At 38.7% G+C, this 24,038-nt stretch overlaps 1 long non-coding RNA gene across 4 annotated transcripts in view; it reads left to right on the top strand.

The window, feature by feature from the left end:
• The window catches only part of LOC105373914 (uncharacterized), a 211,043-nt gene that overhangs the window by 127,084 nt on the left and 59,921 nt on the right, over nucleotides 1-24,038 (top strand). The window contains exon 4 of one of the 4 annotated variants that reach the window (XR_007088111.1): nucleotides 15,919-16,010. The exons of the other annotated variants lie outside the window; for them this stretch is intronic. This is a non-coding gene — a long non-coding RNA (uncharacterized LOC105373914). The remainder of the gene's footprint in view (nucleotides 1-15,918; nucleotides 16,011-24,038) is intronic. 4 annotated transcript variants of the gene reach the window in all.

Here is a 24,038-nt window from a genome sequence, read left to right as displayed (position 1 = left end):
CTGGTTTGTTTTCTCCATGTCTCAGATTTCTGGTTGAATACCAGTCACGGTTCTTATTGGCGGCTATCCCACATTCTCTACAAAAAAAGATGCTCATGGACAGCAATCTCATCAAAGAAATGATTTGTTTTGAAGCAGTATTTGTCATATAGCTGTTTTTAATTAAAATGATCCCTGGCTGGGTGCAGTGGCCCATGCCTGTAATCCCAGCACTTTGGGAGGCCCAGGCAGGCCGATCACGAGGTCAGAAGATTAAGACCATCCTGGCTAACACAGTGAAACCCCGTCTCTACTAAAAATACAAAAAATTAGCCAGGCGTAGTGGCATGTGACTGTAGTCCTAGCTACTCGGGAAGCTGAGGCAGGAGAATTGCTTGAACCCAGGAAGCGGAGGTTGCAGTGAGCCAAGATCGTGCCACTGCACTCCAGTCTGGGCAACAGAGTGAGACTCCATCTCAAAAAAAAAAAAAAAAAAAAGATCCCTGATTCTCTTCAAATGCACTGTGTAAGGAAGGCATTTCCTCCTTGTTCTCAACTGTACTGTGCCTGCCACCTACAAGGTCAGGGACTACTAGACATGCTCATCCCGCCCCCACATTCCCAAGGGCCCTGTAGAATCTAAAGTTACCTCCACACCAAAGTAAAAGAAGCTGGTTGTGGCTTAAATCCATAGCCCTTGGGCATGGTGTTATTCTGGAATCTACCTTAGGAAGAGCAAGCCTAGAGCCCATAATCAGCAGAAATCAAAGCTTGACAATGTTTTTAAGCATCCTCTTTTCCAATTACCCCTTAATGCTGCCTATCCCCCATCCCACCCCCAATATGTAAAGTATTATTTCAGTACTATCAGAAAGAACATATATAAATAAGTGGATATGATTTTCTACATTATTTATGATTTCTTTGTCTTATTTAAGAAAGCTTTCCTTTTCTGTATTCTTAAAAATACGCTATTCTATAATTTTAAAAATTTGCTTTTCTACTTAGGCCATTAAACTATTAGTCGGTGCAGATCTACAAGATTTACACTTTGAAAGTAATCGCAAAAACTGCAATTACTTTTGAGACAGAGTTTCGCTCTTGTTGCCCCGGCTGGAGTGCAGTGGCACGATCTCAGCTCACCGCAACCTCTGCTCTCAGGTTCAAGCGATTCTCCTGTCTCAGCCTCCCAAGTAGCTGGGATTACAGGCATGTGCCACCACGCCTGGCTAATTTTGTACTTTTAGTAGAGACAGGGTTTCTCCATGTTGATCAGGCTGATCTCGAACTCCCGACCTCAGGTGATCCGCCCACCTCTGCCTCCCAAACTGCTAGGGTTACAGGTTGAGCCACTGCACCTAGCCACTTTTTGTATTTGAAATTTATGTGTAGTTGTGAGGTGAGAATCACGTATTATTTTAAATGGAAACATCAATGGAAACATAGGGTCAATAGGTTAAGGTGTTTTTTTGTTTGCTTTTTGTTTTTTGGGTTTTTTTTTTTTTTTTTTTGGTCACTTGTAGCAAACTTTTGTGTGTGAAATTTCTCCACGTAATCTAGGGTTTCAAAGGTATTGTGTATGTCTACGGTGTCCCATATCTACACGTTTATTCCCACTGCTGGTTTTGTGCTCCTCTTTTTTTTCGTAATAAATCAATTTGGGCAGGAGATGATTATTTTACTAGTCTCTAACATTTATTGGGTCCCGTATTAGTCAGGGTTCTCCAGAGAAACAGAATCACTAGGAAATATATATAATGGGAACTGGCTCGTGTGATGATGGAAGGCTTATGATTTGGTGTCTGCAAGCTGGAGCACCAGGGAAGCTGGTAGTGTCATTCAGTCTATGTCCAAAGGCCTGAGAGCCAAGGAAGCCAATGACATAACTTCCAGTGGAGTCCAAAGGCCCAAGAACCAAGAGCTCTGATGTTTGAGGGCAAGAGAAGATGAAATTCCACCTTGAGAGAAGAAATTAGCCCTCCCTCACCTTTTTGATCTCTTGAGACCCCCAATGGATTGGATGGTGCCCACCCACAGCGGTGAGGGTGATCTTTACTCATCCCACCAATTCAAATGCCAATCTCCTCCAGAAACCCTCTCACAGACATACCAGAAGGTCATGTTTCACCAGGTATCTGGACCTCTCATGGTCTAGGCAAGTTAAACCATCTTAGCTCCTCTAGGATTTGTTTTCTATTTCATTGCTTAGGGATCTAATTTTTATTATTTTCTGTGGGTTTACTTTATGCATTAGGCTTCTCTAGAAGGACAGGACTAATAGGATAAATTTATATATGAAAGGGAGTTTATTAAGAAGTATTGACTCAACCTGCACGTTGTGCACATGTACCCTAAAACTTAAAGTATAATAAAAAAATTAAATAAATAAATACATAAAAGAAGTATTGACTCACACGGTCACAAGGTGAAGTCCCACAACAGGCTGTTTGCAAGCTGAAGAGCAAGGAAGCCAGTTTGAGTCCCAAAACCTCAAAAGTAGAGAAGCTGACAGTGCAGCCTCCAGTCTGTGACTGAAGGCTGAAGAGCCCTTGGTGAACCACTGGTATAGGTCCAAGAGTCCAAAAGCTGAAGAACTTGGAGTCTGCTGTTTGAGGGCAGAAATATCCAGCACGGGAGAAAGATGGAGGCCAGAAGACTCAGCAAGTCTGCTCTTTCCATTTCTGTTTTTATGCTGGCAGCTGATTAGATGGTGCCCACCCAGACTGAGGGTGGGTCAGCCTCTCCCAGTCCACTGACTCAAATGTTAATCTCCTTTGGCAACACTCCCAAAGACACACTCAGGAACAATACTTTGTATGCTTCGATCCAATCAAGTTGACACTCAGTATTAACCATCACATTTTGTGTTCCTTTTCTAACCTCTTTTTGTTTGTTTTGTAGTGATAAGATCTTGCTATGTTGCCAGGCTGGCTATCCACAGGCATGATCATAGTGCACTACAGGCTTGAACTCCTGGGCGCAAGTGATTTTCCTGAGCAGCTGGGACTACAGGCATGTGCCACTGCACTCAGCAATCTTTTCTAACTTCTTAATTTTCAATTTTTTTTTTTTCTTCAAGCATATGGATGTAATGGGATATATTTTCCTGCAAGTACTGCTTTTGGCTGTGTCATACATTCTGTAAAGATGGTTCAATGTCACTCTGTTCCAACTACATATAGTTATGATTTTTTTATCACTCAAATTATTTTAAATAGCTTAAAAGTGGATTTAAAAAATTTAAATATATTTTGGAGTTATAGTCCTACCTATGTCTAATGTTACCCCTTTTTTCAGATATCATTGTCATCATATTTAAGACTTCCAAGATTTGAAGTATAGAAGATGATTTTTATAAATGTGCCATGCTCTTTGAGAATATGTATTTTCTAATTTTCTAGTGCAGCTCACTATGTATACACACATATATATGTATCATATTTATGTTGTATATATGATATATATGTGTATCATATATGTACCTACATATATGTAAATATATTCTATAGGTACATGCTCATCTATGTGTGTGTATATGTCTCTAGTAGGTAAAGATTATTATGTTTTTTGTTCAAATTTTCTTTATATTTATTATTTTCTAACCTATCAGTTACTAACAGAAATTCTGAAAGAATTTTAAGAACTGTTTACCATACCCCTATGATTTCATCCCCAACCAATCAACATTTCCCATTTCCTAGTCCCCTGCCTACAAAACTATCCTTGAAAACCCCTAACCTGCGAGCCTTACGGGAAATTGATGTGAGTAAAATCTCCGTCTCCTTCATGGCCTAGCTAACCTAGCCTCAATTAAATTCTTTCTTTATTTTAATACCATGGTCTGTGCAGTGGGCAGGAAGAACCTGTTGGGCAATTACATGGGCACCTAATGTAAAGTTAGTCTCCATGACAACTCATGGTGCAGGCTTGCCTGCTCAGTAAAGGCAATCTTTCCAAGATCCCCACTTTGGGAAGAGGTCTCAGTTCTGTTTCCTTGCCTTTTCTCCAGCTCAAACTTATTTCTCTTCTCCCTTCACAGGGGTTAAAATTTTAAGTACTAGAATAAGGGCTTCTCATGGCATAATCCCTTGATAAGCCACTTCAGCCCAACTCATAAAATTAAGCTTTCTTCTTCATTTGTACTTATTTGGAATCTCCAAAGCTATTTTTTATCAGTTTCTCCAGCATTTTTATGTGTTTTGTGTAGAATTAGAGTTTTGCCTTTGCCAGTGCCACCATTTCATCCAAACTGGAACTCTTCAGCCAATTCTTTAAGAATGATCATTCATTGCTGCCTACTATGCAGGAGAAGATAAATAACAGATGATTGCTGTCCTCACAATCTAGGGGAAGAGAGAGAGATTTGCCCTGAATTGTGTGTCGAGGAGCTTCATGGAAAGGCCTGAGGAGGCACAAAGAAATAAGTCATTAGCTGGACTGTGAGGATTGAAGAAGACTTCCCCAAAGAGAGATTTGAAATGACCTCTACAGGGTGACAAGGAGCCCCAGGGTGGAAAAACCAAGAGGAAGACATTGTCTTAAGAAGACTGAATGTGTAGCCTCAGGATGTCATATCAACACAGAGGTGAGAGTTGAGGCTGTAAGACCAATGAACATGGTCATGCAGAAAGCATGGGGTAGAAGGAGAAAAATTAATGACATGCAACTTAGGAGAAACAAAGTTGAACAGGAACCATCAAAGACCCTCATGTTCTATGGTTGAACAAAAACCTCTGTTGAAAGGAAGCTCCAATTTTGAGGGAAATTACAAGCAAAAGAGAAGGCCTTTGTGGGCCCAAATTAAGAAATGAACTTTCCTATTTGAGCAAAACGTCTTTTAATCTTCTATTCTCAATAAGGTGGTTTTAACCTTCTCATAACATTAATTGCAATGCTTAACTAGAGTTAAGGCTTATAGAAACCTCCTACATAATAAATCATAACTAAAGCTAGCAGAATATCACAGGTTTGGTTACTGCATGACAATTTCTATAATGGGCATTTTATTATTTTATTTTCTACAAGGCTGGAAATGTACTCACCTTTATTTTACCACATACACATCCCATGATCATCCAAAATGTCACTGTGAGCAGTCAGCAAAGAAAGGAAAAAACTAAACACGCATCTACTGAAACAAGAAAATGCCTAAAGGGTCTCTTAAACATCCTAAATCAGCATAATCTTCTCCTTTATCTTCAGAATTCCACAAGCTTCTATTATAACATAGACTCCTCTTGATCCCCTAAAGGTTTACAATCAGTCTAAAGTTTCCTCATTCTAAGCCCCAAAAGGGAATTTTACTTTTTAACTATCTGCACTAGACAAAAAGTTAATTCAAGGAATTGACTTCTGTGGCCTCAAGAATTGAGTAATAAACCCTCTTGTATCCATTAAGATTCTTTGAGAGTGAGAGTTCCCCCAAAGCACCAAAGGGCAATTATTGTAAATCTACCTGGACAGAGCTTTCAGCATAGGTAAAATTTAATTCTCAGCTTACTCAGAGGTGAAAAATGGCCTTACTGAGAAGGATGCCTTTTCTGAGACTCTGCTGGTTCCATATACAGCACCCACATTATACTACACTCCCTCTGACAACTAGCACAATTTGAAAACCACGATTTTCCCTGAACATATGTTATTCATGGTTCTCATGCAGCAGCGTTTACTACACAATAGGTACTAAAAAATGTTTATCCAGGAGAAAGCATGAATAACTGAGTGAAATACAAATCTTTTAGTTGAACAATAATTGAAGATGAAGAAGCAGTTTCAGGGAAGTTGGTGGTGGAACTGAGTCTAGGATGGACGTCTATATCTGACTTACCTTCATCACAGTCTGCTTCAAATGAAGGACAAACTTCAGTAGTGAAGGCGCATTGAATTTAGCATGTTCAGAACTTAGCTCATTCAATCTCAGACTTTAGCAGTTAAGCAAACACCTGAGAAGCTGATTTAAATTAAAATTAACTGATTTCATACCCAGATGTTATGATTCTGTAAATCTTGTATGTACCACAGAAATCTTTTTTTTTTGGAGACAGAGTCTCGCTCTGTCACCCAGGCTGGAGTGCAGTGGTGCGATCTCAGCTCACTGCAAGCTCCCGGGTTCACACCATTCTCCTGCCTCAGCCTCCCAAGTAGCTGGGACTACAGGTGCCCGCCACCAGCCCGCCACCACGCCCGGAAAATGTTTTGTGTTTTTAGTAGAGATGGGGTTTCACTGTGTTAGCCAGTATAGTCTCAATCTCCTGACCTCATGATCCACCTGCCTCGGCCTCCCAAAGTGCTGAGATTGCAGGCGTGAGCCACCATGCCCGGCCTTCTTTTTTTTTTTTTTTTTTTTTTTTTTTAATATGCCTGGTGATTCTGATGAGATACTGTGCCAGAGATATGGTGCTAAGCCAAATAAGCCACTGTCCTTATATCTACCATGAAAAATTTCACCACACACTACTAGAGAAAACTTTGTATAGCTGTCTTCGTTTTAGGAACAGGTATACTTGCTTAACATCAGTTATTGCATATAGAACCTTCTTCCATAGCTAGCTGACTCTAAACAATTTAAGCACTTCATTTGAGAATCAGTAATAGTTTTGTACTAACCAGCGGTACTAAACCATTTTCTGTCGCCCATGTATCTGAGGACATAATACTTTCATATCATTTGCAATGACATTTTCATTCGGTAAACAGCACAGACACTTGAGATGAGTCAGAAGAGGAGTAAGTATCATTTGAAAGGACCTTGCAGTTAATCCTAGTGCCCATTAACATTTAATTTGGGTTTTTTGTTCTGAATGAAGAGCTACCATGTGCTTTTAATATTTACAGTCATTCTCTTATTTTTCAGCTTTTCTGCTCTCTTTTCAATGCCTGGCTTAAATTATGCCTCTTCTCGGAAGTCATTTTATTTATACCTCTAAAATTATTCTATTCATTTATGCTTTTCAGCATTTTGTCCAAAACTCTGCATAATATAGCATATAACATATAACAAGGAATATTGGAACTTTTTGTTTACATGTACACTTCCTCATATGCTACAGCAGAAGCCTGTCTTACTCATCTTTACATTGTCAGCTTTTAGCAATGTAAAGCTAAAATTGTGTAGCCCAGAATATTGTTTCAATAAATATTCATGGAATAAAAAAAACTGGCAGACAGGCACATGCAAATGTTCTGGTGCTGATGTTAGAAACTCTCTGCACATACACAAGGATAGGCCTAGTCATTAGACTATGACAATAGACATAGACAAGGGTAACTGGATGAAAGATTCTTCTGAGTCTAATCGTCAGTAACTTTGTACTCTGCTAAACCTAAATACTTGAATGTCTTTTGGACGGTTTCAGTTTAAACATTATATATTGTAAAATTATGATAGCTTTACAATAATGATGTGTGTGTTGGATAAATTGTGCATTTTTTGATGACCTAAAGCAACTAGCATATAATGTTACTTGGTAAAGAAATGTTCTAGAGATTTACTTTAAAAACTGAAGATCCAATAACTTTTAGAAAATAATATTTCAGAAGAACAAAAGCCTTCTCAAACTCGTACAATCGTTGGCACTTTTCTCACCATGTACAAGGTTTGCAAATTTGTTTTTATTGATTAAAGTCTGCAAAGAAAACACATTTATTTAGATTGATTTGTGAAACTGGCTGCAGTAATGGAATACTGTACTACTTGTTTCAGTACTGGGCCCTGAAAGTCAATTACAGGGCACTGAGGACATTATTTTCCTCTTGTAAACAAAGGTTCTTTAAACTACAGAACATGCCCATTATGTTAGAGAATATGAACAAAAGTATTGCATTTAAAAAGGGTATGCCAACATTTTCCCACTTAGATTAGGTAATTGCCATAAAATTAATATTGGCTGATTCTGAATTTTCCAGTTATGCTCAAATGTATACATTACTAGAATAACAAAACAACAAAAGTCCTATGTTCACAACGACATTAACTTAAATGCCACTCCTAAAAATAAGAAAACTTTAAAGTCATTTCAAAAAATAATCTAAATTCTATGAAACGTCTTAGTCTGTGTAGAGCTAGAAAGGAATCTTCCCTCAGTGTGGGCCACTTGGCTGCAATGAAAGAATGTCATGGTCTTGTGGAATTTCCGGTTCTAGCCACTTAGATTTTGACCAACCCTCAATCATGCAGGTTTCACTAGTATTTACCAGGTTCTTTAAAAACAGATTTGTTCTTTTTCTGGAAAGATCATTTACAATTATATCCAAGGAACAATGCTTAGAGTTTATTTTTAAAAAGAAGAGGAAGTGTAGGTCAAGATTAAAGCATACAACCACGGTGAAGTCTCCACCCAAAGAGGCCCTTTGCATCCAAGTTCTAGGCCTTCTTATTATACTGCCTCATGGGGTGCTTTGGGGTCCTTTGTTTCTTCCTCTACAAAGAATGGAGGAAAATTCGTGGCAAAAGTAGGCTGAAAACCCAAACATGAACTTTTCAAAACCTTTGGGAAAATAGACCATGTAAATAGCTGATTTTCAATTAGGCTTTAAAATTCTCAAAAAGCAATCCCATGTTTGGAAAAAGGGTTGTCAGTAAGGATCAGTGTGTCTGCATATTAAAGTTAATGTCAAAAGGAGTGATAATTGGTAATGAGCATTATAGTTTTAAACAGCACCTGAGCTACATCTTTTTAAGAAGTACTTGCGAGGGCACCGCACGACATCCATACGCACAGGGCCTGCAATTGTACAAAGCAAACTTACCTATGGTGTTTCATTTCATCTTGTCATCAACTGTGTGACATAGGAAGGTAGGATTTATACTCCTTGGAGAAGTCTCTGAATCTGTCTTTCATCATTTGTAAGACTGTGATGATAAATAACAACTGTTCTAATTTTTTGTACTATAGAAAAGAATGAAGTGGTCTACATGACAGATAGCAAAATAAATACAATGGGAAACTAATGTACATTAATGTCCTTAAGATAAGGACAGAATTTGGGTTTGAAGACCATATATATATATATATATATATATATATATATATATATATATATATAAAACATTGAAGAACTGAAATACACCACATTATTAAAATTTATGTTACCTAAATATATATATACACATGTATATATATATATATATACATGTAAGACTATATATGTCATATATACATGTGACATGTATATATGACATATATATAAGACTTACATATATACTTTTATATATACTTATATATGACATATATACATATGACATAAGACTATATATATAGTCTTTATCTATAATCTATATATAGTCTATATATCTAGTCTATATATAGTCTTTATCTATATCTACAGTCTTTATCTATATCTATATAGTCTTTATAGTCTATATATATAGTCTTACATGTATTTATATATACACATGTATCTATATAGTCTTACATGTATGTATATACATATATCTATATAGTCTTACATGTATATATGTATATTATATATAACAAATATACATCTTTTATATGTTACATATATGTTTATATAACAAATATATAAACAAATGTGTATATAAACATATATATAACAAATATATATGTTTTATATATGTAACATATATATATATAACAAATATATATGAGACTATATTTATATGGTCTTTTCCCACTAATGTTTCACAGCCTGTGGAACTATAAAATATTTGTTTTATGCCTATTATTTCATCTTTAATCCCCTGAGAAAGAGTTTAATAAATGAATGGAGAAATGAACATAGCAATCTATCCAGAACAAGGATTAATTAGATATAGAGAAAGACCATATTCTGAGCCATAAAACAAGCCTCAATAAAATCAAAAGGATTGAAATCATGCAAAATATTTTCTTTGATCCCAATATAAGTTGTGTTAGAAATAAAACAAACAAAAATAGCAAAACCAATCAAATATTGGAAATTAACATACTTTTAATTAATCCATGAGTAAAAGGATAATCAATAAAAATTACAAATATTTTGAACTTAATTTTAATGCAAACACAATATATCAAAACTTATGTAATATAGCTAATGGTGTAAATAAAAAAATTTTGTGATCTTAAATGCATATATTTGTAAAGAAGAAGTGTTACAATGAATAATCTGAGACTGCATATTGAGAAACAAGAAAAAAATATCTAAAGCAGCGAGATGTTTGTATCTGGTATATGTCACAACTAAAATCAATTAGAACAAGATGAGCACACCAAAAGAAGAGGAAAAATGAATACCTAGAAACATGTAAAAAAGTGTCAAATTCATTGGTAAATTAAATGAAAATTGAAACCATAATGGGATACTGACATACAAGCTCCAGAATAACTAAAATTAAAATATTGATGATAACAAGTATTGATGAGGGTGTTCAGTAAATGAAATTCTTTTAGGTTTCTGGTAATGAGAAAAAAAATACACACCATCGTGCACACACACACACAAATTTGTTTAGCACAGTAGGGTAAACTGAGGAGGATTTCGTGGCATGAAGTAATCAAATTCACTACCAGGCAACCACCTAGTCACAAAGAGGACTAATGTGTTCAATACCAGGACATTTTATCTAAGCATATCAGTGTGCTAAGTCCACATCTTTTGAAAAGCTCTGTTCTTGGTGACTAAATTGTAATTTGAAGAAAGGGAAAATACATATTATAAAATACATGTTTATATAATATTTATGTAATTATATATTTTATAATTTGTATAATACAATTTATATTTATATATTTATATAATTTATATTTATATAATATATACAATTTATATAAATGTATAGTTTGTGTATAATATAAATATGCATACAAATATATTTATATATGTGTATATATTTCTATAGCATATACATTTTTCATTATTTGTAAAATAACAAATGCTGAATTTCCCAACTACTGTGCTGTATTAGAATAGGGAACAATCCTTAACAATCCCTAGATCTTTTTTTGTCTCATACATTGCCCATTTGAAGTGGAAGAAGCAGGTAACCCAGAAATGCTAACAGGAGCAGACAAAAAAGAAGTCGCAACAAAAGCCTTCTTTTTCTAGCCAAGAACCAGAAAAGAGGCAACTTAGCAAGACAGAAAACTTTTAGAAAATAACTGCTCTCCCTCAACCAAACACCACCGAGAAAGCTGTGGCCATCCCCACCTCATCCAAAACAGCAAAAGCTGAGTGGGGAGCCTCAACTTATCAAAATTAACATGCTATGAAAGATTCAGAATACAAAATATTTATCTTTTTTCAAAATTAACACCTCTCATTCCTTTCATTTGGAATCTTCAATATTATCCAAATATCATCAAGAAGCTAAAAAGGATTGAAAAACTGAAATAAACTAGATTATTAAATTTATATCACCTAAATATTTTAAAAAACATGAAAAAGACATAGCAAACTTCCAGACATATGGGCTAAAGTAGGAACTACCCCTACTACTTGAAACATATTAAAATTCAGAATATATGTAAGAGTTAAATTTTTAATATACTATGAACTCTAAAAAAGAAAGGGAGATCTTTACATGTCAGATAAAAACCAGGGATTTAAAGTCAGTGGTGCACACATAAGCTAAAGTTGAAGAGACGTGGGCAAAGCCAGCTTCTGTACAGATTTTAATAGGTCACGGCTGGATTTCAACCCTCCTGGAGAGAGATGAGGTGGGCCACAGATCTTTGCATAGAGGTTCCCAGATGCCTAGAAGCTATGCAGCTTTATCTTGCAATGCAGTGACAAAACTGTACTCCCAGAAAATGGGAGACAACAAAATAACATATGGTCAGTCTGATTTCATTAAACATGAGTCTTTCTACTCCTATTGTACACTGAGCAGGGGAAGGGACAGGTCCATTCACCTCTGTCCTTGGGCAGGGAGCTCTTTAGGATTTTCTCTTTTGGTAAGTGAGTGCTTGCGTGAGAAGAACACAGGTTTTTGGGTTGCCAGAGGCATATGTTATGGCAGGGGCTATTACTATCCCCAGAATATATTATCTCCTCTACATTTTTTTGTTGTTGTTAATAAATATCTTTCTTATCTCTCCTAGTTTTAGTTAAAGACACGATTTTGAGCTGAAGACCCATATTGAAGCTGCCTCCGTAGCTAACTGTGGTCATGGGACTCAGTGACTAGGAAGTTGCATGCGCTCCATGCTATCTTACTCTCTTCATTGGGGCTGAAAGGCAGCGGTGGTGCTGAGATCAACCTTAACTCATAGAGGTCAACTGAAATAATTGTTCTATCTTACTACAATTGCATATTTTGAGGGGATGTCTTCACTACAGCAACTTAGCCTAACATGCACTAATACAGAAAGAAGTAGGTATGAGAGTGGTAATAAATTTAATAATAATAATAATAAAATATAGAATAATGATAAAAATGAGCCATGAACTGACTCTTTGATATCAAGGTATTGAAAAAATAGTGAATGATTATTACACAATTTTATGTGATTTGTATACAAAAGAAAATTTCAGGCCAATCTCTTGAATATATGTACTAAAATCATATATAGCTATCTATATCCATGGAAATCTAGATGACAGGTGGAGAGAAAGACAACAGAGACTGTAGGGAGACAAGGCAGTGCTTGCCTCTATAAAGGGAATAAAAGGAATGCACTCAAGAGGTAGATAAAGTGCTAGGTGTGGTGGCTCATGCCTGTAATCCCAGCACTTTGGGAGGCCCAGGCGGGCAGATTGCTTGAGATCAGGAGTTCAGGACCAGCATGGACAACATGGGGAAACCCTATCTCTAGTAAAAATATAAACATTAGCTGGGCATGATGGCATATCCCTGTAATCCCAACTACTCAGGAGGCTGAGGCAGGAGAATTGCTTTAACCCAGGAGGCAGAGGTTGCGGTGAGCTAAGATCACGCCACTGTACTCCAGCCTGGTGACAGAGCAAGACTGTCTAAAAAAAAAAAAAAAAAAAAAAGCAGATAAGGAACACCTCCAGTTCTGTCTATAATGCTCCATACTTCTTGTTTGTAGTAACATTATAGAGAAATATTTTAACATTTGTTAATTTCTTGAAGAGTAGCTGCTGCACAGGTAATGATTACATTGTTGTCTTTTCTATACATCTTAAATTTAAATTTTTCAAAATTCAAAACAATTGGTAAAGGAAATAAAAACTGTAACTATAATAACAAACTTCTATATTTAGATGAAGGACACATGAGTTATCTCACTTGCATAAATTATATGTGCACTGTAAAATATAAGGATACTGATAATCTAAAATACAGCAGGAGTGACTTACAATTTCCATTTCCAATTCTTTAATGAATTATCTGCCTCATTTACTTAATATAAATGTAATTTTCAATTTGTGGAATTGAGAACGTCTTGTTAAACGGAATTTCTCTTGAGAAAACTTTTTTCCATCTCCCTTAATTGGATCTTAGTAATATTTTTAAATTTATTTTGAAGGTGTATAGTTTTCATTTTATCAAAAGCATACGGAAGAAAACCATGTAGGTAGCAAGGTATACATTCACTAGTTTCTCTATTTCTCCTCCATCCTTTCCAAGTCCCAGCTGCAATGGTCTGGCATAAGGTAAGAGGACCAATTACTTGCTATCATTACTTGTGTGGGTTGGGGAGCAAGAATAAAATTAAGGGTCACTTGGGTGTATGCTGTTGGTAAATTCCATGTCCTAATAAGAGACTGTGTGGTCCTAGGTGGCTGCTAATTCTGTCTGATATTCAAATTTCACTTGGCCCTGTCTACACACTTGAGGATAGCATTGTGTCTTTTGTTGGCCCTCAATAGATTAATGGGTTTTTGTTTGATTATTCTTCAAAGATAGTAACAGAAGCTATTCTGCACGAATCTAAAGTTCTAGCATTCACCAGAATGACTTAAGAACTAGTAAAATGCAGATTCCTTGTTTCTAACCAGAGATATTCCAACCAACACGTTGGGTCTGGGCAGAGATCTGCCGTTTGCATATCCCAAGGGATCCTCATATTGATAGCTCATGATATAGGAGACTGTGAAGAAGCCATGAATATGCAGGTAAAAGTGAGGTGTTGTTGCCTTTTTTTGGTTCTAAAGTTTTCTCAATTCCTCCTAGACCACCAGTCTATAGAATGGTCAGCTCTTAATGCTCACGTTGCCAAAAATCCAGAGGTGGGCTGAATTTTGCTATAGCTTTCATAGCAAAGTGTCAGAAACTGGTGGCTTAAAAAAGCAGAAATGTCCTCTCTTACTGTTCTGGAAGTTAGAAGTCCAAAATCAAGGCATGGGCAGGGCCATGCCACCTCCTGAGCCTTTGAGGGAAGATCCACTTTTGCTTCTTTCAGCTTCTAGAAGCCCTAAGTGTTCCTTGGCTTGTGGATGCATCACACTAATCTCAGCCCCAGTGTTCACGTGTCTGTCTTTTCTCTGTGTCAGTGTCTCTATGCCCTTGTATCTCTTCTTATAAGAACACCAGTCATATTGGATTAAAGGCCCACCCTATTCCAATGTGACTGCATCTTATCATTATATCTGCAACGACGCTATTTCCAAATAAGGTCATATTCTGAGATTTTAAGAAAGACATGAATTTCGGGGTGACACTATTCAACCCAGTCTACAAGCCTTAAACTATTTAATTACATATTATCTTAAAATAATGTTAAGTTCTTCACAAGAAAATGAGAACATACCCTTAATTTCCCAATTCCATTTCTTTTAGTTTTTTGTTTTATTTTTTAATTTCCAACTTTTTATTTTAGGTTCAGGGGGGTACACAAGCAGGTTTGTTACATGGGTAAATTGCATGTCATGGGGGTTTGGTGTACAGATTACTTCATCACACAGGTAATAAGCATAGTACCCTACAGGTATAGTTTTTTTATCCTCACCCTCTTCCCATCCTCCACCCTCAGAGTAGGCCTCACTGTCTATCATTCCCTTCTTTGTGTTTGTGTGTACCCAGTGTTTAGCTCCCACTTATAAATGAAAACGTGATATTTGATTTTCTGTTCCTTTATTAATTCACTTAGAATAATAGCCTCCTGCTCCATTCATGTTATTGCAAAGGACATGATTTTATTCTTTTTTATGGATGCATAGAATTCCATGGTGTATATGTACCATATTTTTTAAATCCAGTTTATCATTGATAGGCATTTAGGTTGATTCCATGTCTTTTCTATGGTGAATCATGCTGTCATGAACATATGCATGCATGTGTCTTTATGGTAGAACGATTTATATTCCTTTGGGTATACATCCAGTAACAGGATTGCTAGGTTGAATGACAGTTCTGTTTTAAGTTCTTTGAGAATCTCCAAACTGCTTTCCACAATGGCTGAACTAATTTACACTCCTACCAGCAGTGTATAAGCGTTCCTTTTTCTATGTAACCTCGCCAGCATCTATTATTTCTTGACCTTTTAATGATAGCCATTCTGACTAGTGTGAGATGGTATCTCATTGTGGTTTTGATTTGCATTTCTCTAATTATTAGTGGTGTTGAGAATTTTTCATATGCTTTTTGGCCACATGTATGTCTTCTTTTGAGAAATCATTTTATTAAGGTTATCTTTTATTCCTGTGTTAATTCTTTTTTAAGTTGTTTCCATTTGTCTGTTTTTCAGATGACAAAGCTATCATTCACTTTAGAATTACCTCATTGCTGTCTCTGCTAGATTTGGTACATCCTTAGAAACTAGGGATTGCTTCAGTAATACGTCTGTGTGTGCATACATGTTGGGGGAACAGACTAAAAATCCCCAGGGAAATCAACGCTCCATTATCCTTTGGTTGCCAAAAGAAAGAACTTTTGCAATGTGATGAATGGAGTGACCTTCAGAAGAGTGAGAAATAAATCTCCCTAACCTTGTTGAACAATGCAAGTTTGATAAGCATTGCCCATTAACTTTCTAAGAGAAAAAGCAAAGCCAAGTCATAACAATTCTGAAAAAGAATGATTTTTTTTTTTTCTAGGGCACACAAGGGAAACTCTTGAAATTCCAGGGAACTTTATTTACTGAAGCCAAAAGACTCCAATAGTCATGAATAGTGTCATCTCCAGAAAGGTCAGTTCTCAATGGAAGCATTTTCAGGGTGGAGAGAGGTGGTAACATGGAACAGCAATGAAAGTTACTCACAATTTAAATTGTTCTTGATTTTGTCTCAGCATCACATAACCTTATGCACTTTATTCTTTTCAAAGAATGGTGTTGAAGCTTCATTTAACTCAGAGAAACACCCTTCTTTTAAAATTTTTGTATTTTTTAAATTTTATTTTATTATTATTATACTTTAAGTTTTAGGGTACATGTGCACAATGTGCAGGTTAGTTACATATGTATACATGTGCCATGCTGGTGTGCTGCACCCACTAACTCGTCATCTAGCATTAGGTATATCTCCTAATGCTATCCCTCCCCGCTCCCCCGACCCCACAACAGTCCCCAGAGTGTGATGTTCCCCTTCCTGTGTCCATGTGGTTCTCATTGTTCAATTCCCACCTATGAGTGAGAACATGCGGTGTTTGGTTTTTTGTCCTTGTGATAGTTTACTGAGAATGATGATTTCCAATTTCATCCATGTCCCTACAAAGGACATGAACTCATCATTTTTTATGGCTGCATAGTATTCCATGGTGTATATGTGCCACATTTTCTTAATCCAGTCTATCATTGTTGGACATTTGGGTTGGTTCCAAGTCTTTGCTATTGTGAATAGTGCCGCGATAAACATACGTATGCATGTGTCTTTATAGCAGCATGATTTATAGTCCTTTGGGTATATACCCAGTAATGGGATGGCTGGGTCAAATGGTATTTCTAGTTCTAGATCCCTGAGGAATCGCCACACTGACTTCCACAAGGGTTGAACTAGTTTACAGTCCCACCAACAGTGTAAAAGTGTTCCTATTTCTCCACATCCTCTCCAGCACCTGTTGTTTCCTGACTTTTTAATGATTGCCATTCTAACTGGTGTGAGATGGTATCTCATTGTGGTTTTGATTTGCATTAGAGAAACACCCTTAATATGTGTTTTAATTTCTATAAGCCTTTGTTCTCAAGCCGCATGTCTCTTGTGTAAGCCTCCGTAGAGTCTTCAGGGTCTGCAGCCATCTCCTTGTGACTCACGGTTGCTCTATGTATCCAACATCACTATAATCTATTACATCACAGAAATTCACAAACTGTCCCAGAAACTCACATTTAACCAAGAAGCACTGTCACCCATAGTCGTCACTCAGTATCCAGGAACCATTGGTTCAAGGACCACCCTCATGTATATCTTCCTGTATATCTTAAATCATCCCTAGATAACTTATAATACTGAGTATAATGTAAATGCTATGTAGATAGTTGTATCTTTTTTTTAGTTTGTAGTATTTATTTTTCTGAATATTTTCAGTGTAAGATTTATTGAATTTTTGGATGTGAAATTCATAGATATGGAGAGACAATTGTATGCATGTTCACTGTTATATTGAAGTTTCCAGGATATTTCTGATGCTATTACTTCTGCGTTTTTCCTTTAAAGGATGGCTAAGGCACAGATACATCCTTACACCAAGCTTTCATGAAGGAAGTGGCTGTGCCCTTATACATTGTTCTTAACCATAATTTATAAACTTGGATTCTGAAGTATCTTCATAATGCTATCCAATGCTTTTGGTCAGAAGTATGTATATGTTAGATAGTTTAATAATTGTGGGCCGGGTGCAGTGGCTCCCACACCTGTAATCCCAGCACTTTGGGAGGCTGAAGCGGGCAGATCACAAGGTCAGGAGTTCGAGACCAGCTTGACCAACATGGTGAAACCCTGTATCTACTAAAAATATAAAAATTAGCCAGGCTTGGTGGCATGTGCCTGTAATCCCAGCTACTCAGGAGGCTAACGCAGGAGAATTGCTTGAACCTAGGAGGCGGAAGTTGCAGTGAGCCGAGATCACGCCACTGCACTCTAGCCTGGGCTACAGAGCAAGGCTTCCATCTCAAAAATAATAATAATAATAATTTTGGGTCTTGACACTAGTCTTGTATAGGCAAGAATTTTCCATTTATGGGTAGGAGAAGATGATCGGGAATATGTTTTTTTTTTTTTAAATAAATCTTCCACCAGCATTTTCAGGCCCCACTGATCATAAGAGATAGTTGGATATGTGTGGTATGAATTCACTCTGCCATGGAAAATGTTTTAGGCAATGTCAAATAAAAATAATTGTTAAAGAGATATGATCAAAGTTATTATGTGTTCTAGATAGCATGGTCTATAAACTAGTGTGTGATAATTCTAACTTCTTCCACATAGACCATTAAATGAATCAGTGCAAGTACAACGACTGAGTCCTCTATAGGTATTTGATAAAATATAAAGTAATATTCATTTGTAAGTTCCTTTACAGTAGTGGTTCTCAACCCTTGCTATGCTATCAGAAGTTTTTAAAGAGTTCAGAGGGTTGCACCAACCTGTGGTATGATCACACTATACAATACTGCTCAATATTCTCAATACAGTTTAAAGGAATGGTCTTCTGACACCCGCAATATGATGAATCTCAAAAGAAATATGCTAAGTGGAAACCAGGCAAAAAAGACTAATGGTCTCTGATTCCATTTACATGATATTCTGGAAAAGGCACAACTATAGGGATAGAAATCACTTTCAAATGAGATTTTACTGTAGTTAAAATATGTATAAGTCAACAAAGCTTGTGGAAAATTCAGATACTCAAGTCCTACCCATACAGATTCTATCTCAGTTGTGGAGGAACTCAGGCAAGGGTAAAATGTAAACACTCCCCAGGTGAATCTAATGCTGGGACTGAAAACTATCACTTCATTATGTTAATTTTAGACGCCCCAATCCATCGTGACTGTGGTATCACAAATCTTATTCAAAAAAGACAGCTACCTGAAGTATTCAAAATATAAACATTACCTCTTCTCTACAAATAGAATCATAAAACTTCCCTTATCAATGAACATACATTGATTGATTTATAATGCACTTATGACTAAATACAGTGGTTTTAAAAATATCGTTCCTTTGTGAGGATCACATTCAGGTATAATAATTAACTTCATTCAAGAATATTGGTGAACACTGGTAGTCCCTATGTAATACACAACACCACCAGACTAAATCCATTTACCTTATGATAACACATAATTTTGGTTTAATTCATACAAATGTGTCCGGAATTGGTGGGTTCTTGGTCTCACTGACTTCAAGAATGAAGCCGTGGACCCTCGCAGTGAGTGATACGGTTCTTAAAGGCGGCGTGTCCGGAGTTTGTTCCTTCTGATGTTTGGATGTGTTTAGAGTTTCTTCCTTCTGGTGGGGTTCATGGTCTCCCCGGCTCAGGAGTGAAGCTGCGGACCTTCGCGGTGAGTGTTACAGCTCTTAAGGCGGCACGTCTGGAGTTGTTCGTTCCCCCCCGGGGTCGTGGTCTCGCTGGCTTTAGCAGTGAAGCTGCAGACCTTTGTGGTGAGTGTTACAGCTCATAAAAGCAGGTGTGGACCCAAAGAGGGAGCAGCAGCAAGATTTATTGCAAAGAGCGAAAGAACAAAGCTTCCACAGTGGGGAAGGGGACCCGAGCAGATTGCCACTGCAGGCTCGGGCAGCCTGCTTTTATTCTCTTATCTGGCCCCACCCACATCCTGCTGATTGGTAGAGCCCAGTGGTCTGTTTTGACAGGGCGCTGATTGGTGCGTTTACAATCCCTGAGCTAGACACAAAGGTTCTCCAAGTCCCCACCAGATTAGCTAGACAGAGTGTCCACACAAAGGTTCTCCCAGTCCCCACCAGAGTAGCTGGATACAGAGTGTCCATTGGTGCATTCAGAAACCCTGAGCTAGACATAGGGTGCTGATTGGTGTGTTTACAAACCTTGAGCTAGATACAGAGTGCCGATTGGTGTATTTACAATCCCCGAACTAGACATAAAGGTTCTCCACGTCTCCACCAGACTCAGGAGCCCAGCTGGCTTCACCCAGTGGATCCCGCACCAGGGCTGCAGGTGGAGCTGCCTGCCAGTCCCCTGCAGTGCACCCGCACTTCTCAGCCCTTGGGTGGTCGATGGGACTGGGCGCCGTGGAGCAGGGGGCGGCGCTCATCGGGGAGGCTGGGGCCGCACAGGAGCCCATGGAGGGGGTAGGAGGCTCAGGCATGGCGGGCTGCAGGTCCCGAGCCATGCCCCGCGGGAAGGCAGCTAAGGCCCTGCGAGAAATCGAGCGAAGCGCCGGTGGGCCGGCACTGCTGGGGGACCCAGTACCCCATCCGCAGCCGCTGGCCCGGGTGCTAAGCCCCTCATAGCCCGCAGCCGGCAGGGCCGGCCCGCCGGCTGCTCCGAGTGCGGGGCCCGCCGAGACCACGCCCACCCGGAACTCCAGCTAGCCAGCAAGCGCCGCGCGCAGCCCTGGTTCCCGCTCGCGCCTCTCCCTCCACACCTCGCTGCAAGCTGAGGGAGCCGACTCCGGCCTTGGCCAGCCCACAAAGGGGCTCCCACAGTGCAGTGGTGGGCTGAAGGGCTCCTCAAGTGCCGCCAAAGTGGGAGCCCAGGCAGAGGAGGCGCCGAGAGTGAGCGAGGGCTGTGAGGACTGCCAGCACCCTGTCACCTCTCACTAAGACCCTTACGTGAGTCAAGATTTTGATGTAATCACTCAAATAGCCAAGGCAACCTTGATTTAACAGGAAATATCATACAAATCATCTTGTATTTAAAAGGCACCATCACCACCAGGACTACCACCCCCAGAACTTTAACTCTTGTGTGAGAAATAGGTTATGTCCATTCAAAACTAGAACAGATGGCAGGTACCAACTGGTAGCAATCATCTCTACAGCCACAGGGGGAGATAAAAGATTCCTCCACCTGTAGTGCTCAAACCTGGCTTACCCTCTCCTATTTTTCAGACAACAAATCCATCTACCACATGAACACAGGATTCGATTTCCTAATCTACAAATTTCATCTGTGACATCCCTGCCTCAAATCATTCCATGATGCCTCTTGACCTATAGGGTAAACACCAAATTCAACATGCGGTATAAAACTTGGCTTGATCTGGGCTCTGTCTCTTATACCAGCTTCATCCCACTGCTGTCCACTTTCCCCTCCCCAACATCCAAATGTGTTTCCACATCCCAAGCTTATTTAACACTACATTTAGGGGCGGTAGAGGGGAAAACTGAGAGTTTGTTGATCATGTATTAATTGACATTGAGCTAAGTGCAGGGCTGATTTTATAGGCTTGAACCTGTGCAGTAGCCCTGCTCTGAGAAAAACCCTACACTTGGTTTAATATTTTACTCTCACCATTTTGGAATTCTTAAAAGTTTTATATTTGACTCTGTGTTTTGGAAGTAAAATCCAACAGGACAATGGAGCATATGTGTAAATAGAGGAGATAACCCAGGTGGCGCCATGTGCTCGTGTAGTTGGGTCCAGCAACTGCAGATACAGGTATCAACACACATAGCAGTTGGCCCTGCGTGCAAGCTCAGACTCCAGGGAAATACTGGGAACCCCTCTTTGTTTTTGCAATGATGTTTTCTATGCCTGAAATGTGAATTTGCAACCCCTTTCATATTTGCCAGCTTATCATTCCTCTGCTAAATATTGGAGAAACTCCTAGGCATTCTCCAAGACTCAAATGGGCCCTTATTTCTTCTAAGAAGTCTTTTCCAAGCCTGCAAGAGTCCATTATTTCCTACTTTAAGCCACTGCTAGTCCTAGCACTAACCGCTATTCCAGCATGTATTATGAATATTATACAATCCTTCACAGGTATTTCAGCCCTCACTAAATTGTAGATCCCTGTAGGAAGTAACTCCTTTTACTAATCTCTGTATTCCTGATACTTAGCACAGCGCTCACTGCTCTCTCAGTAAGTGTTTATCTGAATTAAGCTGCTGGCTTTACTTAGTAAGTGGGCTTCCTGCTAATGGAAAGTGAATGTGTGGTCAAATGGTCCTCTTTATAAGCTGGGAAGGGTGTAGTCAGAGGAGAAGCTCTGTGTATTTGGAGAGTTCCAACCTTTCCAACAATCCACCAACACCCACTCTGATGAAAGAAGATGGCTATTTCCACAACAGGGAGCCTACCCTTTCCATGTACTCTGTTCCCTTTGCCTACCACTTATTCAGAGACCCTTTTATGTGAAATTAAACAATTTCTCAGATCCACTGGGGAGTAGGTTCCTCCCAGCTGATTGTATTTAATATTGCAGTGTTTACTTTCTGGCTTTTTGTTGAGTGTTTAAATCCAGGTGTTAACAATATGGATTTCTTCTGTAATTTCTGTTTATTTCAAGTGCAGATTTTCTTAAGCAGCTGGTGGCACATACGTAAACAAAATCAAAATATTTGTTTAAACTTTTCTAGGGTTTTGCATCTACTGGACCTAGTGATAGAAGGTATTTATTTTACAGATGACTGTGAATGAGGTAATAGAGATTGCATTGCCTGGGAAATATAAAACAATTGAAGCAGGATTTTTTAAAGAACATTAATGATTAGGGTATATTGGTATAATTATTGCAATAGTTATTGGCATACTGGCTGAATGAAGCTGAAAAAGGCATATATTGATATTGATATAGGTAACACATTTTATTCAGCACCCATTATGCAGGAATAGTAAGTTCAAATCAAGAAAATATGCCATGTGCTTTGGTAGCAGAAGAAACTAGGCACTCATTTTTGGGCCAGGTTGTAAATTTGTACATTATTTAGGCATAGCATATTCTTTAACTGATCTTAAATAATAACTGATCATCATGACTGATTTTCTTAAAATACAATAATCAAATTTTCTTCCAAGAAAGACTATTTGGGCCAGACACGGTGGCTGACACCTGTAGTCCCAGCACTTTGGGAGGCCAAAGTGGGCAGATCGCTTGAGCCCAGGAGTTCAAGACCAGCCTGGGCAACACGGCAAAACCTCGTCTGTACAAAAAAAAACACAAAAATTAGCTGGGCATGATGGTGCATGCCTGTTATGTTAGCTATTTGGGAGGCTGAGATGGGAGAATTGCTTGAGCCCGGGAGGCAGAGGTTGTAGTGAGTTGAGATCACACTGCAGCCCTCCAGTGTGGGCGACAGAGCAAGACTCTGTCTCAAAATCTATTTGGCTTAGTAGAAACGATGGGTAGCAGTTAAAGGCACAGCCAAAGCACATATGTAGACACAGGGTGGGCATGAGGGAGCTTTTCTTGGCCATTTTCTGAGCTCAGCACACCCATTACTGATGTGTCAGGCACAGGACTGGACACTGGAGTGCAGTGCAGAATGAACCGGGCATGGGTCTTGCCTGTGGCAGTGTCTTGATATGTATTAAACAATCAGAATTCTAATAAAAATTACACCTGGGTAAAATGCTCTAAAGGAGAATTATATGATGAGATTAAAGCCCGTGCTAGGAGGAGATGATGTCATCTGGAAATCTGGACGAGGGAAGCCGATAAAGGGAAGAGCATGTAAAAAGAATAGCAGGTTTGAGGGCTAGGGCTAGACTCAGTGGGGCTGACGTGAGGTGGGGCCATGGAGGGAGGCTGGGGCCTGTGGAAGACGTCAGGAATTTCAATTTTCATGTGAAAAGTCATGGGAAGCCCTTGCCCTTTTAGCAGCAGAGTAAACTGATCAGCTGAGCAGACCTTAGAAAGTCTGTCTGGCTGCGGAGGGGGGAAATATTGAAGATAAAAGGACAAGAGAAGCCTCTCCACCACCACATTGTTCTCAGAGGCTCTTATCTTAACTCAGCATCCAAATGCAATGGGCAACGTGGGGTCAATTGTGGATACTATTTTCTATTTATATATATATGCATCTATCTATCTATCTTCTATCTATATCTTTCCCTTCTGAAGACCTAGAATTGATCCATAAACATTAGTTAGTGGTGGAAAATATTCCCACCTACAATCTAAAAGCAACTCCAGGGACAGCAAGGCCGAGGCTTAGTGAGGTCACATAGCTGTTCAGCAGAATGTCTCTATCTTATAGGCCATGACCCCAGTATAAAAATGAAAACAACCTTGGGCGTTCCTTAGTTAACCTTGTGGAGCCTGGCAGCCATGCACAAGGATAGGCCAGCCAGG

This window comes from Homo sapiens, chromosome 2 (genome assembly GCF_000001405.40).
Source record: "Homo sapiens chromosome 2, GRCh38.p14 Primary Assembly".
Classification (NCBI taxonomy): Eukaryota; Metazoa; Chordata; class Mammalia; order Primates; family Hominidae; genus Homo; species Homo sapiens.
This window is presented reverse-complemented; position numbering and strand designations above follow the sequence as displayed.